We start from the raw sequence: 16,577 nt of genomic DNA, 5'->3' as shown, positions 1-16,577 counted from the left end.
AAGTCCCTGCCCTCAGGCAATCAAAGATGTGTTAGAAGGGCTTGGCACATGGCAGGCAGACAGTATACATGGTTGGGATTAACCCCACTATACAGATGAGGAAACTGAGGCTCAGAGGCACTGGCCTGGCAGGCAGTGGGACCTGCACCCAGGCTCGTCTGACACTGAGCTCTTTGGCCTCCCTCCTTTACTGCTGCCTTCAGAAGAGACAGAGGAGAGGGCCACCCCCTCACACGCACACAGGGGCTGACCATCCAAGGTCGCCAATCACCTGGCTGCGAGCAGCCCTGCTCCCACGGGGACACTGACCGCTCCGAGTGCCCGGCATTCAGGCCTCGAGCCACCCACTCTGCACTGCACGGGGCCTCCTTGGAACGCGTCCCTCCCCAGAGGCTGTTTCTCTGTGGGATGGCGCTGCTCTGTGGGGAGGACCCCACCTCCCTCCTTCATGACGACCTGCCCTCACCTGGCTCGTCTCTTGGCAGACGCTGTCCCACACGTCTCTGTCATTTCCATGCCACCATGGTGACAGTCTTCCTGGCCACGGGTGTGACAGGGCCTTTTAGTTTCTGACTGACACAGTCACAGCCCGATTTCACCTGATTCCACTTACAAAGGCAGGTTTCCCTTCCCAGCCTCACATGGGGGTGGTCTCCGTGGAGTTCAAGAGGCTGTGGGCTGGGAGGAGGGGCAGCAAAGAACCCCAGCACACCCCAAGCAGGAGGGGGCAGCGTCCATCCGGCCATCTGGAGACAGCCAAGACCCTTGGCCACTGCAGATCCCCCCACTGAGCCTGGGCCTCCACCCCCACTTCACACTGGAACAGATGCTGGAGGGGCAAACCCCAAATACCCTCCCTAACCAGAAACCAAAATACTGAACTCCACCAGATCCCAGCCCAGCCTGGCCAGATAGTCTGACTTTCCAACGAAGTCGAAAATACAGATTTTTAGAATTAAAATGTAAATGCTGGCAACTAATTCAAATTCAATTGTGTGGTGGGTTTTTTTTGTTTTTTGTTTTTTGTTTTTGCATGGAGGGCTTTCTGGTGAAAACCAGACCCCACCTGGGAGCAGGCCCCGGGGGGACGGCTGTGGGAAAAGGGGACCCCTTCCCCACAAGTGCAAAGAACAGGCCACGAGCTGGCACAGATGCCTCTTCCCGAGCCCACCTGGGAGTGACAACCGGAAAACGTGCTAGACAAATTCTAAAAGAGCTGTAACACCTTACATTATTTTAAAAGTCCCCAGGTTGAGTTAATCCCAGACCCTTTACAGCTTTTTCCTTCTGATTGGTGAGGCCTCAGCTCAAATGTCACCTCCTCAGAGAGGCCCTCCCCCATGGCCCTATTTAAGTAGCTCCCACCAGAGTCTCAGTCAGCGACACGCACCCTTCATTTCCTTCTTGGCGCTGACCCCTACCTGCAAGTGCCTCGTCATTTGCGGTTGGCATCTGCACTGTCCGTCTCCACCAGCACTTAGGCTCCGTGAGGACAGACGCACGTCGCCTTGTGCCCTGGTGAATCCCAAATCCCTGCCCTGAGCGCAGTGCCTGGCACAGAATAGACACAGGCAATGAGTGCTGCTGAAAGTTCCCCATGGAGCCAGTGGTGATCTGTCCAGGCTCTACAGCCCTCCCGCTAAACGTGTTCAGAGACGGGGACGCTGGGGCCATCCTCCTTGCTCCACTCCTGGTGAAGAGCCCTCAGACCCATAAGATGGGCTTGTCCATATCACCTTCTCAGGTGAGCCTCATACATAAGCAGGTTCAGTGGGTTAACCAAGCCTACATCTTTAACCCACGTGATAACCACAGTACCAGGTTTCTGCCATCAAATCTTTTCTATCCTCAGTCCTGCCTTGGGAATTCAGACTCACCCAGAATTCAGAGTTTCACAGACTCAGAAGAGAATGTGATGCTAGATTGTTCTGAAATGTTTGGTTTTAAAGCAAGATCAAATGATTACATTTGTGATCTGAAATCATTTGATTGTATCAAGCCATATCCCCTTCCAAATTATTTTCTTTAAATTCTCCCCAGAACGGGGAGCAGTATTAATTGTTTCCAATGAAAAGACTGCCCCTTTCATCAAAGCCATGAGCTTTATCTGCTGTTTTTGAATATAACACTGGCTTAGTGAAAGTTGATTGTAAATAGCAGGACTTCTTTCTGTATTTTATCCTTCCAAATGTGCTAGTTGCAATAAAGAAGTGAAAAGTTTAAAAATCCTCTCTTGTAAATGTTTGGAAATTGCACTAGAGTTATTTCTTGCTCTTTGAGGGGAGAGGTCACCCTGCAAACATACAGTCACACCTGTTCGGCTCCCCCGGGTTTTGAATGTCACTAAACCCCCACTTCCCCCCTACCTTGGCAGGTCAGACTCTGTGAAGGATGCTCACTGTCTGTACGACCTCACACCAGGCACAGGGACTGGGGGAAAGAGACACATCTGGCTTGTGGGACATTCCTGCAAGGCCAATTTTCTGGTAGGGAGGTGACACCTGCAAAGGAATCTCTCATTTCTCCCAGCTCCAGCCAGTTTCAACAACAGGTGGGGTTTTCTTTCCTCTCAATTGTTATAGATTTCTTTTCTAATAATCAAAGTCATGACTCATTTTGAAAGTTTTTAAAAATAGAAGAAAAGATTTTAAATCACACGTGATACCAACACCAAAGATAAGCAGCATTCGCATTTTGCTATGTAGTGCTCCTGTTAGACATACACACACATATGATCACACTTACACACTTATGCATTTTTGCTTCATTAAAATAGAATAAAGCTTTATGGGCCAGGTGCAGTGGTTCATGCCTGTAAACACAGGCGGATCACTGAAGGTCAGGAGTTTGAGACCAGCTTGGACAACATGGTGAAACCCTAGCTCTACTAAAAATACAAAAAAATAGCTGGATGTGGTGCATGTGCCTGTAATCTCAGCTACTCAGAAGGCTGAGGCAGGAGAATTGTTTGAACCCAGGAGGCGGAAGTTGCAGTGAGCCGAGATCTCACCATTGCACTCCAGCCTGCACAACAGAGTGAGACTCTGTCTCAAAAAAAAAAAAAAAAAAGAAGAGCTTTGTTTACACTAAACAATATTTTGTGTCCATATTTACACATAGATAACAACAGATCACTATCATTTTTGGTATGGGCATATGTAGATATAAGTATTACATGAATTTCCTACTTTTTATCCAGTTATGGTCATATCACCTATCAGTGATTTAACTTCAGCCAAGACAGAAGTTTATCTCATGAAAACCAAGACTGGGCCGGGCACAGAGGCTCACGCCTGTAATCCCAGCACTTTGGGAGGCTGAGGTGTTTCACTTGAGGTCATGAGTTCGAGACTAGCCTGCTCAACATGGTGAAACCCTGTCTCTACTAAAAATAAAAAAAATTAGCTAAATATGGTGGCACGCACCCGTAATCCCAGCTATTCGGGAGGCTGAGGCATGAGAATCACTTGAACCCAGGAAGCGGAAGTTGCAGTGAGCTGAGATCACGCCATTGCATTCCAGCCTGGGCAACAGAGCAAGAGTCTGTCTCAAAAAATAAAAAAGTAAAAACAAAACTGGAGGTTCTCAGTCTAGGGTGGCGTTAGGGACTTTCATTTCCTTCCAGAGGACATTCTGCTATCCGCAGGGTAGAAGCCTAATCCTCAAGGTTCAAGGTGACAAGAATAGCTCCAACCATCATACGCTTATTCCAGGAAGCAGGTCAAAGGATGGAACAACTAAGAAATGACATTAAAGATATGTGTCAGTCCATCTGCGTTGCTATAAAGGAATACCTGAGGCTGGTTATTTATAGAAGAGAGGTTTAATTGGCTCACAGTTCTGCAGGCTGTACAAGCATGGCACCAGCATCTGCTCCTGGGGAGGCCTCAGGAAGCTTCCAATCATGGCAGAAGGTGAAAGGGAAGCAGGTACATCACATGGCGAGAGAAAGAGCAAGAGAGGGAGGAGGATGTGCCAACCCCTTTAAACAACCAGATCTCCCATAAACTCAGAGCAAGAATTCAGTCATTGCCATCAGGATGGCACCAAGCCATTGTGAGAGGGATCTGCCCACATCACCAAAACACCTCCCACCAGGCCCCACCTCCAACATCAGGGATCACATTTCAACATGAGATTTGGAGGGGACCAACATCCAAACCATATCAAGACAGAAGTTACAGAAGGGGGTCTCCAAAAATACCACCCAACACTTTTATTGCCTCCCATTGGCCAGAACCTGGTCACATGGCCACAACTCACTGCAAGGAAGCCTGGGAAAATGTAGCCTGTGCCCGCCCACTAGGAGAGGGGAGCACTGGTGCCAGGGTGTGGGACCACCAGTGGGCATTTATGCTTCCTACTTCTTTCTTCTTATAAAAATCCTTGAGATTCATCTTTGCATATTTTTCTGACTATTTCCTAGGGATCAATGCCTATAAATGAAATTTGGGACCAAAAGTTACTCACCTTCATTGGCCAGTTGCAAAATTGCCCTCTAGAAAAGTTGTACCAACGAACTCACCCAAGAGGTGGGGTTCTATTTCATGAAATGTTTCTCCACCCCACATTTCCTTTTAATCCACACCCTTTGGCCTTTATTAGGCTTAGACATCTCTTCAGAATCCGTGCTTCCTACATCATAATCTTGGGATTCAATACATGTTTTTCATTCGGGTTATTATTAATATCAGATTTATCTAACTATGCGTGAACCCAGCCACAGCCTTAGGGAAAGAGATGTATCTTTCAGTGCTGAAGAGAATAAAAATGAATAATCCTCAGAGACTTTGAAACTGAAGTGGGCAGGCAAGGGTGGAAAGAACAGATCTCATTCTACGAAGTGCATGGAGGGATATTCACAGAGCATGTAGTGCTGAGTAGAGCGGAACAGGCACCCGGGGACACCCAGAGAGCAGCCTTTCCTCAACAGAAAAGGAGTGAGCACCACACAGAGCTGCAGAAAGGGAATCCCAGACAGGGGTAACAGTAGATGCAAAGGCCCCATGGCAGGCACCAACTTGTCCAGGTTTGCCCAGAACTTTCTCAGTTTTAACACTAGAAATCCCATATCCCAGGAAAATTCTGAGTCTCAGCCAAGCTGGGATGATTTGCCTGAAACTGCCCTGTTATAAAACTGAGAGGTCTGTGCCCCATGACCCTCCTCAGTCCTGAGCAAGCTGAGGCAGTGGGTCGCCCTAGACTGGAACGACATGCATGATGGTGGGAAGAGCCAGTGACTCTCTTTCATGTCCTCTCTCCCCTCAACCTCAGGAGTCACCCAGGTGGGCACTGGCATCCAGGATGAAAACTTCCCAGCACCCCTAGCAGCAAGCAGTGGCCACGTGACCAGGCAGTGACCAATGCACATGAGGCCAGTGCACAGCAACTGCCATTAGAGGAAGGAAGATTTGTGTCCTCTTGTTCTCTTCTCCCCTCCCTGCTGGCTGGCAGTAGATAGGATGGACACTGTGGGGGAAGCTATACCCTAAGGAAGTCAGAGCAGCAAGATGGAAGTAGCCTAAGACCCTGAAAAATGCACAGAGAAGAATGACCCGACTGGCTTGGACTTTCATGTGAAAGGAATGAACCTCTGTCTTAGTAAAGCCACCGTCATTCAGGGTCCTTGTCACATTCACTGAGGCTGTAACATAATTGTTAGAAAGAACAGGAGCGGGAGGGGGGATGGAGTCGGAGAGGCAGGCAGAGGTCAGATCACATCGGGCCCGTAGGCCAAGGCGGAGGAAGAAACAGGCAACATAGGACTCAAGGACCACACCTGCTCCCAGGCAAAGGGAGTTTGCTGTGGGTGCCCCTCTCTGTCTGTGTGTCCAGTGTGTGGATATTCTTTATACCTTGCCCATATTGTACAAATACTTTTTTCTATTCAATATTTAGAAGACATTGCATTAAATAGCAAGATGGCAGATGAACATCAGGAAGGAACATTAGGGACATCCACAGTGTTCCATCCAGGAACCTTCACCGTGGAAACCCTTGTGCTCATGGGCGTGGTCTCAACACACAGTCAGCTGTTGGGGATCAGAGGCCGCACTCACCGGAGCAGTGAGGCAGAACTAACTGGGAGAGGGTCCTTCTGTGACACCTACTGCATCACCGGGCTGTGTGAAGTGACTCAGCTGCCAGAACTCACACAATATCATTCTACACCAAAACCTCATGGGAAAAATGGTAAGTTCTCAGTTTCTCCATTAATAGCAACTCTCAGATTAATCGCTGTCCTCCATCGCTTCTCCATGAAACAACTTTTTATAGCTTTGCTTGCGTCTATTTTTCCATTTTTTTTAATTTTGCTAACTGATTGAAAGATATATATTGTGTGTGTGTGATTTTGTCTCTGTCAGCCAGGATAATCATGGTTTAATTCTTATTATTTTTATTACCAACATCCTTTAGTTTTTTAAGCTTTTCAATTCCTAAGGGTATTAATCAAGATCTTTCTGTCTCATGAGACACAGAAAACAAATCCAAACTGTGTAAGAGGAAAAAGAATGCATTCATCACTAGCATTGAGGAGTTCCCAAGCTTAGCTTGCTTGGGGTACAGCTACGTCTACCATTTCCAGGGTCATCCTGTAACTCTCTCTCTCTGCTTCCCCAACTTTGGCTCCATGTTTAGCTCCACGACCCTCAGGCTTAAACAGCTGTACTGGCCGCTCCCCAGATCTCCAGCTCCCTGACCCTCAAACTCCAACTGCAGCACCAGCTCCGCCCCGGGTCTCCAGCTCCACAATCCTCAAACTACAACAGCAGCACCAGCTCCCCTGTGGATCTCCAGCTCAATGACTCTCAGACTTGGGAGGCGGCACCGGCTCCCCACCAAGCCTCCAGCTCCACAACCCTCAAACTAGAAAGCAGCACCGGCTACTCCCTGGGTCTCCAGTTCCCTCAAACTTCAGCTATAGCACTGGCTCTTCCCCGTGGCCACCAGCTCTGCAAACCTCAACTTACACAGTGGTAGCACCAGCTCCTCCCTAGGTCTCCAGCTACACGACCGTCAAAATTGAACTGCAACACCAGCTCCTCTTTGGCCTCCAGCTCCACAATCCTCCAACAACAACAGCAACACCGGCTCCTCCCTGAATCTCCAGCTCAACAACCCTCAGACTTGAGAGGCAGCACCGGCACCTCCCCAAGACTCCAGCTCCATGACCCTCAGATTTGAACAGCGGTAGCACCAGCTCCTGTCCAGGTCTCCAGCTTCACGATCCTTAAACTAGAACAGCAGTACCGCCGCCTCCGTAGGTTTCCAGTTCCATGATCCTAAGACATGAATGAAAGAACTGGGTCACCCCAGGGCTCCAACTCCAAGACCCACAGATTTGAACGGCAGCACCGGCTCTTCCTGGGATCTGCAGCTCCACAGCCTTCAAACTAGATCAGCAGCTCCGACTCCTCCCTGGGTCTCCAGCTACACAATCCTCAGACATGAACAATAATAGCACCGGCTCCTCCTTGGGTCTCCAGCTTCACTACCCTCAGACTAGAACAGCAACACCAGTTCCTCCCTGGGTCTCCAGCTCTACAATCCTCAGACATAAACAGCAGAAGCACCAGCTCCTACCCTTGTCTCCACTTCCACGACCCTCAAACTACAACAGCAGTACCGGCCTCTCCCCAGGTCTCCAGATCCATGACCCTCAAAATAGAATGGCATCATCGGATCCCTCCTGGGTCTCCAGCTCCCAAACCCTCAAACTTCAATTGACACACCGGATGCTCCCCACAGTTAAACAGCAGCACGGGCCGTTCCCAAAAGCTCCAGATCCACGACCCTCTGACTTAAATGGCAGTAGCACCGGCTCCTCCCTAGGTCTCCAGTTCCACAACCCTCAAACTACACAGCAGCACCGGCTCCTCCCCAGGTCCACAACTCCACCACCCTCATACGAGACACCAAGACTACCTCCTCCCCGCTCTCCAGCTACACGACCCTCAGTCTTGAACAGCAGCAGCTCCTCCCTGTGCCTCAAGCCCCATGACCCTCAGACTTGAACAAGAACAACACCATCTCCCCCCAGGGCTCCAGCTCGGGGACCCACAGATTTAAACAGCAGCACCGGCTCTTCCTGTGATCTCCAGCTCCACTAACCTCAAACTAGAATAGCAGCACCAGCTCCTCCTTTGGTCTCCAGCTTCACTACCGTCAGGCTAGAACAGCAACACCGGTTCCTCCCTGGGTCTCCAGCTCAATGACTCTCAGATTTGAAAGGCAGCACCGGCTCCTCACAAAGTTTCTGGCTCCAAGGCCCTCAAACTAGAATAGCAGCAGCTGCTGCATCTTGGGTCTCCAGCTCCACAATCCTCAAAGTAGAAAAGCAGCCCTGGCTCCTCCCCGAGTCTCCAGCTCCTCAAGTCTGAGGGTTGTAGAGCTGGAGACCCGGGGAGGAGTCAGTGCTGCTGTTCTACTTTGAGGGTCGTGGATCTGGAGACCCAGGGTGGAGCCGGTGCTGCTGTTCTAGTGTGAGGGTCATGGAGCTGGAAGACCCCGGGAGGAGCTGCTGCTGCTGTTCTAGTGTGAGGGTCATGGAGCTGGAAGACCCCGGGAGGAGCTGCTGCTGCTCTCCTAGTTTAAAGGTCATGGAGCTGGAGACCCGGAAAGGAGCCATTTGAACAGCAGCACTGGCCTCTCCCCAGGTCTCAGGCTCCACGACCCTCAGACTTAAAAAGCTGTAGTACGGGCTTCTCCCTGGGTCTCCAGCTCTACAACCCTCAGACATGAACAGCACCACCGGCTCCTCCCCCTGTCTCCAGTTCCACGAACCTCAAACTACAACAGCAGTACCAGCCTCTCCCCAGGTCCCCAGATCCACGACCCTCAAAATAGAATGGCATCATCAGCTCCTCCCTGGGTCTCCAGCTCCCAAACCCTCAAACTTCAATGGACACAGCACATCCTCCCCACAGTTAAACAGCAGCATGGGCTGTTCCCCAAAGCTCCAGATCCATGACCCTCTGACTTAAATGGTGGTAGCACCAGCTCCTCCCTAGGTCTCCAGTTCCATGACCCTCAAACTACACAGTAGCACCGGCCCCACCCCAGGTCCACAGCTCCACCAACCTCACATTAGACACTAAGACTACCTCCTCCCCACTGTCCAGCTACACAACCCTCAGCCTTAAACAACAGCAGCACCAGCTCTTACCTGGGTCTCCAGCACCACAACCCTCAGCCTTAAACAACAGCAGCACCAGCTCCTCCCTGTGTCTCAAGCTCCACAACCCTCAGACTAGAACCGCACCCCTCCTCCCTGAGTCTGCAGCTCCATGACCCTCAAACTACAACAGCAACACAGGCTCCTCCCTGAATCTCCAGCTCAACAACTCTCAGACTTGAGAGGCAGAACCGGCAACTCCCCAGAACTCTAGATCTGTTCAGACTAGAACAGCAACACCGGTTCCTCTCTGGATCTCCAGCTCAGTGACTCTCAGACTTCAAAGGCAGCACCAGCTCCTCCGTGGATCTCCAGATCCACAACATTCAAACCAACATGGCTCCTCCCTGGGTCTGCAGCTCCACGACCCTCAAACTAGAACAAGACCTCTCCTCCCTGGGCCGCCAGCTTCCTGACCTTCAAACTACAACAACACTGCTCCTCCCTGGGTCTGCAGGTCCATGACCCTCAGACCAGAACAAGACCTCTCCTCCCTGGGTCGCCAGCTTCCTGACCCTCGAATTACAACAACCTTGCTCCTCCCTGGGTCTGCAGCTCCACAACCCTGAAACTAGAACAAAATTTCTCCTACCTGAGTCGCCAGCTTCCTGACACTCGAACGACAACAAAATTGCTCCTCCCTGGGTCGGCAGCTCCACGACCCTCAAACTCGAACAAGACTTCTCCTCCCCAGGGTGCCAGCTACCGGACCTTCAACTTACATCAACATTGCTCCTCCCTGGGTCTGCGGCTCCACGACCCTCAAACCAGAACAAGACCTCTCCTCCCTGGGTCGCCAGCTTCCTGACCCTCGAACTAAAACAACAATGCTCCTCCCTGGGTCAGAAGCTCCACGACCCTGAAACTAGAACAAGACCTCTCCTCCCTGGGTCGCCAGTTTCCGGACCCTTGAACTACAACAAAATGGCTCCTCCCTGGGTCTGCAGCTCCACGACCCTCGAACTCGAACAAGACTTGTCTTCCCCAAGTTGCCAGCTACCAGACCCTCGAACTACAACAACATTGCTCCACCCTGGGTCTGTAGCTCCACGACCCTCAGACCGGATCAAGACCTCTCCTCCCTGGGTCGCCAGCTTCCGGACCCTCAAATTACAACAAAATTGCTCCTCCCTGGGTCGGCAGCTCCACGACCCTCACAATAGAACAAGACCTCTCCTCCCTGGGTCGCCAGCTTCCGGACCCTTGAACTACAACAAAATTGCTCCTCCCTGGGTTGGCAGCTCCACGACCCTCAAACTCCAACAAGACTTCTCCTCCCCGAGTTGCCAGCTGCCAGACCCTCGAATTACAACAACATTGCCCCTCCCTGGGTCTGCAGCTCCACGACCCTCAGACTAGTACAAGACCTCTCCCTGGGTCGCCAGCTTCCTGACCGTCGAACTACAACAAAATTGCTCCTCCCTGCGTCTGCAGCTCCACGACCCTCACACCAGAAGAAGACCTCTCCTCCCTGGGTCGCCAGCTTCCTGACCCTCGAACTACAACAAAATTGCTCCTCCCTGGGTCTGCAGCTCCACGACCCTCAGACCAGAACAAGACCTCTCCTCCCTGGGTCGCCAGCTTTCTGACCCTCGAACTATAACAACAATGCTCCTGCCTCAGTCTGCAGCTCCACGACCCTGAAACTAGAACAAGACGTCTCCTCCCTAAGTCTCCAGCTCCAACACCCTCAGATCTGAGCAGCGGCAGCACCAGCTCCTTTCTGGGTCTTCTGTTTCACGATCCTTAAATTAGAACAGCAGCACCATCTTCTCCCTGGGTCTCCAGCTCCACGAAACTCAAGCTAGAATAGCAGCACCGGCTCCTCTGGGATCTTCAGCTCCACGACCCTAAGACATCAGTGGCAGCACCGGCTCCTCCCCTGGACTCCAGCTCCAGGACCCTCAAACTTGAACAGAAACACCAGCTCCTCCCCAGGCCTCCAGCTCCTTGACCCTCATAAACAATCCCTTCTCATGAAATGTAGCAGTCAGGAAAACTGTAGAGGAAGTAAATAAATAAATGTTTTCCTTTCAAATTGATGTTTCTTTTCTGTTCACGCAAGTCAGAAAACTTTTCTACTTTCCATCAACCTTGCAACCTGCTTGCATTCATTTGTAAGATGGAAATCCATCATTTGAAATAACCTTTAAAAACTTAGTAGTTCTTTTTTACTATGATCTTATCTCACAGCTCTAGAAACGATCTTTCACTTTGCCTGTGCAGAAGTCTTGTGAACATTCAAACTATGAATTTACTTGGTTGAGATTCCTAGAATACACATTATCCCCAGATGTTCCTGCCCTTCTTAAAATCTTCTAACACGTTCCCCTCACCCGAGCATACGTGCCAGGTCCTATCCACAGCCCACAGTGCCCAGCACGGCCCTGCCCTCTGCCCTGACCTTATGGTCTCCCCTCTGCTGTTACTTTCCTCCCAGACAGGCCTCTGTCACTTCCTCAAACCACACAGGTTCAGGCCTGACTCCGGGCCTTTGCCCCTGCTGTGCCCCCTGCATGGAGCGCCTTTCCCCGGCTCCCCATCCTCCTCTCCACCGGCTCAGCTCCAGCCTGCTGGCCGCCCCTCAGTCCATGAACACACGATGTCCTCCCCCCAGGCCTTTGCACATGCTGTTCTCTGTGCCTGAAACCCGTCCCCCCTCACCATCTGCGTTCACTTTTCTAATTTCCATTCATCCTTGGAGTCTCCCCTGAAATATCGCCCCCCGCCTGCCCCCACCACTTGGACTTAACCTTGCTTAGGTTGAAAACCCCCATCTCCTGACTCCAGGAAGCTAGATGCTATCCTGGCACTTGGAACTTTCCCATCACAGCGTTTTGCGCACTCGTAATTTATTCTATTAGGTTGGTGCAAAAGTCATCACAGTTTTGTCATTGCTTTTAATGAATGGCAGCTCCGGCTCCTCCCGCTTTTGATTGCCATTACCTTTACTGGCAAAAGCCGGAATTACTGCTGCATCAACCTAATAGAATAATTTATATTTATTCACCTATCATCTGTCTTCCCCTCTAGAAAGTAAGCTCCATGAGAATAGGGACCAAATCTACTCCAATCACTCCACCTTCCTAGCACATTGTCAATAATTATTCACCGACTGACTGATGGAGAAATATCTTCATTGTTGCTGGGATGAGCCACATAACATGACATGCCCCTTTGAAAGTCAATGTCATGGACAGTTAGCGTTTGCTTTTCACTCCTGCACCCGTGGCTTGGCTGGGCTTAGGCTGATCTAGTCTGGGCTTGACTCCAGGCTGAGGGTTGGAACCCTGCGTGCTCCACACGCCTCTCATCCTGCAGCTGGAGCCGAAGTTCCCTGGGGCACGCTCGTCTCGTGGGAAAAATCAAGAGCATTAGAGGGCAGGCCTGGCAGTGCCAACACATTCCAGGCTTCTGCCTGTGCCGTGTCTATGAAAATCTTGTTGGCATAAGCAAGTTACCCAGCCACGAGCAATACCTATGGGATGGATAAGTCTATCCACCCTCCCTCGGGCCCTGGTAAGGACGTGGATGTGTCATACTCTTACAGGGGTAGTGAAATAGTGAGGCCCAACATTAAATCACCTACAGCAAGATACATCAGCCTCTGTGTCCCCACGCTGGAATCATGCTTCACCAGCAGGTTTACCTGAGCTGACTCCCCTTTGCAATGGTGCCTGCAGGTTTAGGCCAATGCTGTTCCTTGTGGAAGACAGAGAAGCCTCAGTTGGCCTCCGACTGTTGGCAAGAACAACATATTAAGTTGGCACAAAACAACCAGAAGCCCCAGGTGGCCCGTGCCCAGTGAGATAGGAGAGGGGCAGGAAGAACTGTGGAAGCTCAGGGAGGCTCTCATCCCCAGCCCCCTCCCCACTAGTCCCCATCTCTGCTTTCTTTTTCCTGTTTTTTTTTTTGTTTTGTTTTGTTTTTTTGAGACAGGGTCTGACTCTGTCACCCAGGCTGGAGTGCAATGTTGTGATCTTGGCTTACTCCAACCTCTGCATCCCAGGCTCAAGTAGTCCTCCCACTTCAGCCTCCCCAGTGGCTGGGACCAGAGGCACATGCCACCACACCCAGCTAAATGTTTTGTTTTTGTTTTGTAGAGACAGGGTTTTGTTGTGTTGCCCAGGCTGGTCTCGAACTCCTGAGCTCAAGCAATCTGTCCACCCAGCTAAATGTTTTGTTTTTGTTTTGTAGAGACAGGGTTTTTTTGTGTTGCCCAGGCTGGTCTCGAACTCCTGAGCTCAGGCAATCTGCCCACCTACACCTCCCAAAATTCTGGGATTGCAGACATGAGTCACTGAGTCCAGCCTGCTTTATTTTTTTTAACAGTACTTGGAACCTTCTAATGTACTAAGTACACATGTATTTTCTTTTTTTTCCTCTCTTCCCTAGAATAGGAGCTTAACGTGGGCGAGTATTTTTGTTTATCTCATTTATCACCCTATCCCCAGTGGCTGGAATAGCGTCTGGCACATGAATGGTGTGTTCTAAATAAATATTTTTAACAAATAAATGAAATATCCTACAAGAGAAAGCTAGTATTTGGAACTCACCCATCAACAGAACCAAAAAGCCGAAGACCTTCAGCCTGTCCCTACCTCTGAATGCACCCAGCCCCAGCAGATTAAAAACAGGAACAAAGTTGGGGAAGGGAGCAGGTGGTGCCACCCCGACCAAGGACCCCTGAGGCTTAGGCTGAATTTGAGCTGGAGAAGGGACTAACCTAGGAACTGGGCGTGAGATTAAAGTTGAGACTTGTCTGGCCTGGATTTTGTAACACCGAAACATGAGCTATTCCATTCATTTTTGTTTTTGTTTTTTTTGAGACAGAGTCTTGCTCTGTCTCCCAGGCTGGAGTGCAGTGGCATGATCTCAGCTCACTGCAGCCTCCGCCTCCCAGGTTCAAGTGATTCTCCTGCCTCAGCCTCCTGAGTAGCTGGGATTACGGGCGCCCATCACTAGACCCAGCTAATCTTTGTATTTTCAGTAGAGACAGGGTTTCACCATGTTGACCATGCTGGTCTCGAACTCCTGACCTCAAGTGATCTGCCCACCTTGGCCTCCCAAAGTGCTGGGATTACAGACATGAGCCGGCGCCTGGCCATATTCCACTCATTATTAGCAAGTCTGCTATTATAAATCAAGGTGACCAAAATCCTAGGAAAACTTCCCCAGATGTCATCAAGGAGCAGAGACCAGAGACCTATCAGCAGGATGGGGACTAGGGCGAGGCAGGGGAGGGAGGCGCTCATCTCTGGATTATCAGGGTGCAGCAAGTGAGGCATAAAATTTAAGGGGGCACCAAAAAATTCAGGATCAAAATAAATAATATTTTAGTGCAGAATTTTTTTAAAAAGTTAAATTCAATGCAAAAAAAAAAAAAACCCTAATGGGAAAGTTAACAACATTTCAACTAAGACACAATATGACCCTGTATTTGCATGACTTGGCCTCACTCACTCACCCTAATCTGGCCCCTGCCTCACAGAAGCTGCTGGAATGCAGCGGCTAGAGAACAATGAAGCTGTTTTCTGCTCCTATCCAATTCAGACCTTCCATAAAGCAGCTACAGGTGAGACCGTGATGAGCTGCCTATGCCAACCAGGACCACAATCTACCATTAGGACCACAGTGACCGGGTCCATGTTGCCTGTCCCCAGCTGTGCCCGGACGCTTTGGCTTAGAGGCTCAGGCCAGTGCTGCTTCTCCCGTTGACACCGGGCACTCATGAAGAGAAAACAGACAAGGCCGGGCACGGTGGCTCATGCCTGTAATCCCAGCACTTTGGGAGGCTGAGGTGGGCAGATGACCTGAGGTCAGGAGTTCCAGACCAGCCTGGCCAACATGGTGAAACCCCCGTCTCTACTAAAAATACAAAAATGAGCAGGCATGGTGGTGCCCAGCTGAGGCACAAGAATCACTTGAACCCAGGAGGTAGAGGTCGCAATATCGGGCAGCTGCACTCCAGCCTGGGTGAGAAAGTGAGACTCTGTCTCAAAAAAAAAAAAAAAGAGAAAACAGCCTCGGTTATAGGAACTCAGGCCTCCACACAGACACAATCAAGAAGCTTAGTTATTTAAAATGCAGCTAGCTCCGTGTGGGGGTAGGTTGGGGAATGATTCTTATTTTCTACTTTATTCTCTTTCTCTGTTACTTGGCGTCTCTGGCCATGAGCCTGTCATTTCTGTAATTAGAGCACAGATTGTGGGGAGGGGAAGGACAGGCCGCCTGGCAATGTGGTCCTGTTTTTCCTGGACCAGGCTTTGTGTGAGGACCTGTGCCCAGCGGGCAGATTCGGGTCCCTGAGGAAAGAGGAGGAGCCAGGTAGTGGGACATTTGAGGTGACAGCCCTTCCCCAGCTGCCCAGGGCCCGCTTGGCACCAATGGTCATTCCCAGCATGTTGGGTTGGCCTTCGGGGGTCTGGTCAGGACTCTCGGGGCCATCAGGGTCTGGCAGACCCAGTTCTGGGTGTGAAGACACCTGGGGCATCTAGACGCCCTCTCCGGCCACTCACACACCCAGCACTGAGAGGCCACAGCACGTCTGCCCACGCCTCTGTCCTTGTTCACTTGGCAGCTGGCCAGTCATCGTGGACACTGACCGTAGCTCGAGTGTAGGGTCCCCAGGTTTCTGCTGGGCCAGCAATTGTGCCCCTTGTGCTGCTGTATCTTGGGGTGCCAGTACAGGGTCTCCATAGGGATAGAGACAGCATCTCTGCACCAACCAGTGGGCACACAGCTGTGTTTCAGTACAAACACCTGGGCCAGCTGGACAACGCAGCCTGGGCCCAGCAGCTCTGATTTGCCTGAATCCCAGAGTTGGCATGGTGGGGTCATTCTTTCCAGCCAAACCAGAGAGCACGTCCTTGGGCAGGATGAGGAGGGTTCAGAGCAGGTGAATGGAGCTCTGCAGGGAATGACATCTCCTCCAAGAAGTGAGGGCCCTGAAATAAATCCAGGGACACTCTCTGAGCATCCCCAGGGGGCACACTCAGCCTCAGGGAGCAGAGAAATGTCAGCCGGCAAGGATAGGTCTGTGCTCTGCGGATGGGCCAGAAAGAGGGGGTGCAGCAAAGGAATCATAGTCGCAGAGGAGAAAACGGCCAGAGTCACAGCCTGATTTGTCCCTTTCTCACTGGGTGCTGCCAGGAGTCCAGTCCAAGCCAGCGACTCCCGAGCACAGGTATCAAAATGGACTGAGACCCTCTAATCGCCTCCTGGTGTCTTGAGATAGCCTCCTACCCACCGGCCCCCAACACGGGGCCCTGCACTGGCTTCTCCAAGAAGAAACTGGGGGGCTGAGGGGCTGACCTGTGGGGACACCTTTCACTCAGTGCCCGAGAACCTGCTGAATGTTTAACTTATCCTTAAAAAACATGCCTGCCTCTTTGCATGTCTA

The 16,577-nt window shown here is 50.9% G+C and overlaps 1 pseudogene, besides 1 other annotated feature; it reads right to left on the bottom strand.

Annotated features, from left to right (window-relative positions):
* On the bottom strand, nucleotides 1,152-1,227 carry RNU7-92P (RNA, U7 small nuclear 92 pseudogene; annotated as a pseudogene).
* Nucleotides 10,253-11,189: an enhancer, noted in NCBI's record as "H3K27ac-H3K4me1 hESC enhancer chr20:46523130-46524066 (GRCh37/hg19 assembly coordinates)". NCBI's record gives its function as "activates a minimal SCP1, AML or CMV promoter by ChIP-STARR-seq in primed H9 embryonic stem cells {active_cell/tissue: H9 hESC(primed)}" and the evidence as "EXISTENCE:reporter gene assay evidence [ECO:0000049][PMID:30033119]".

The sequence above is a fragment of the Homo sapiens genome, chromosome 20, assembly GCF_000001405.40.
Source record: "Homo sapiens chromosome 20, GRCh38.p14 Primary Assembly".
In the NCBI taxonomy this organism is placed as follows: Eukaryota; Metazoa; Chordata; class Mammalia; order Primates; family Hominidae; genus Homo; species Homo sapiens.
Note: the sequence above shows the minus strand (reverse complement) of the source record. Positions and strands in the feature narration are given on the sequence as shown.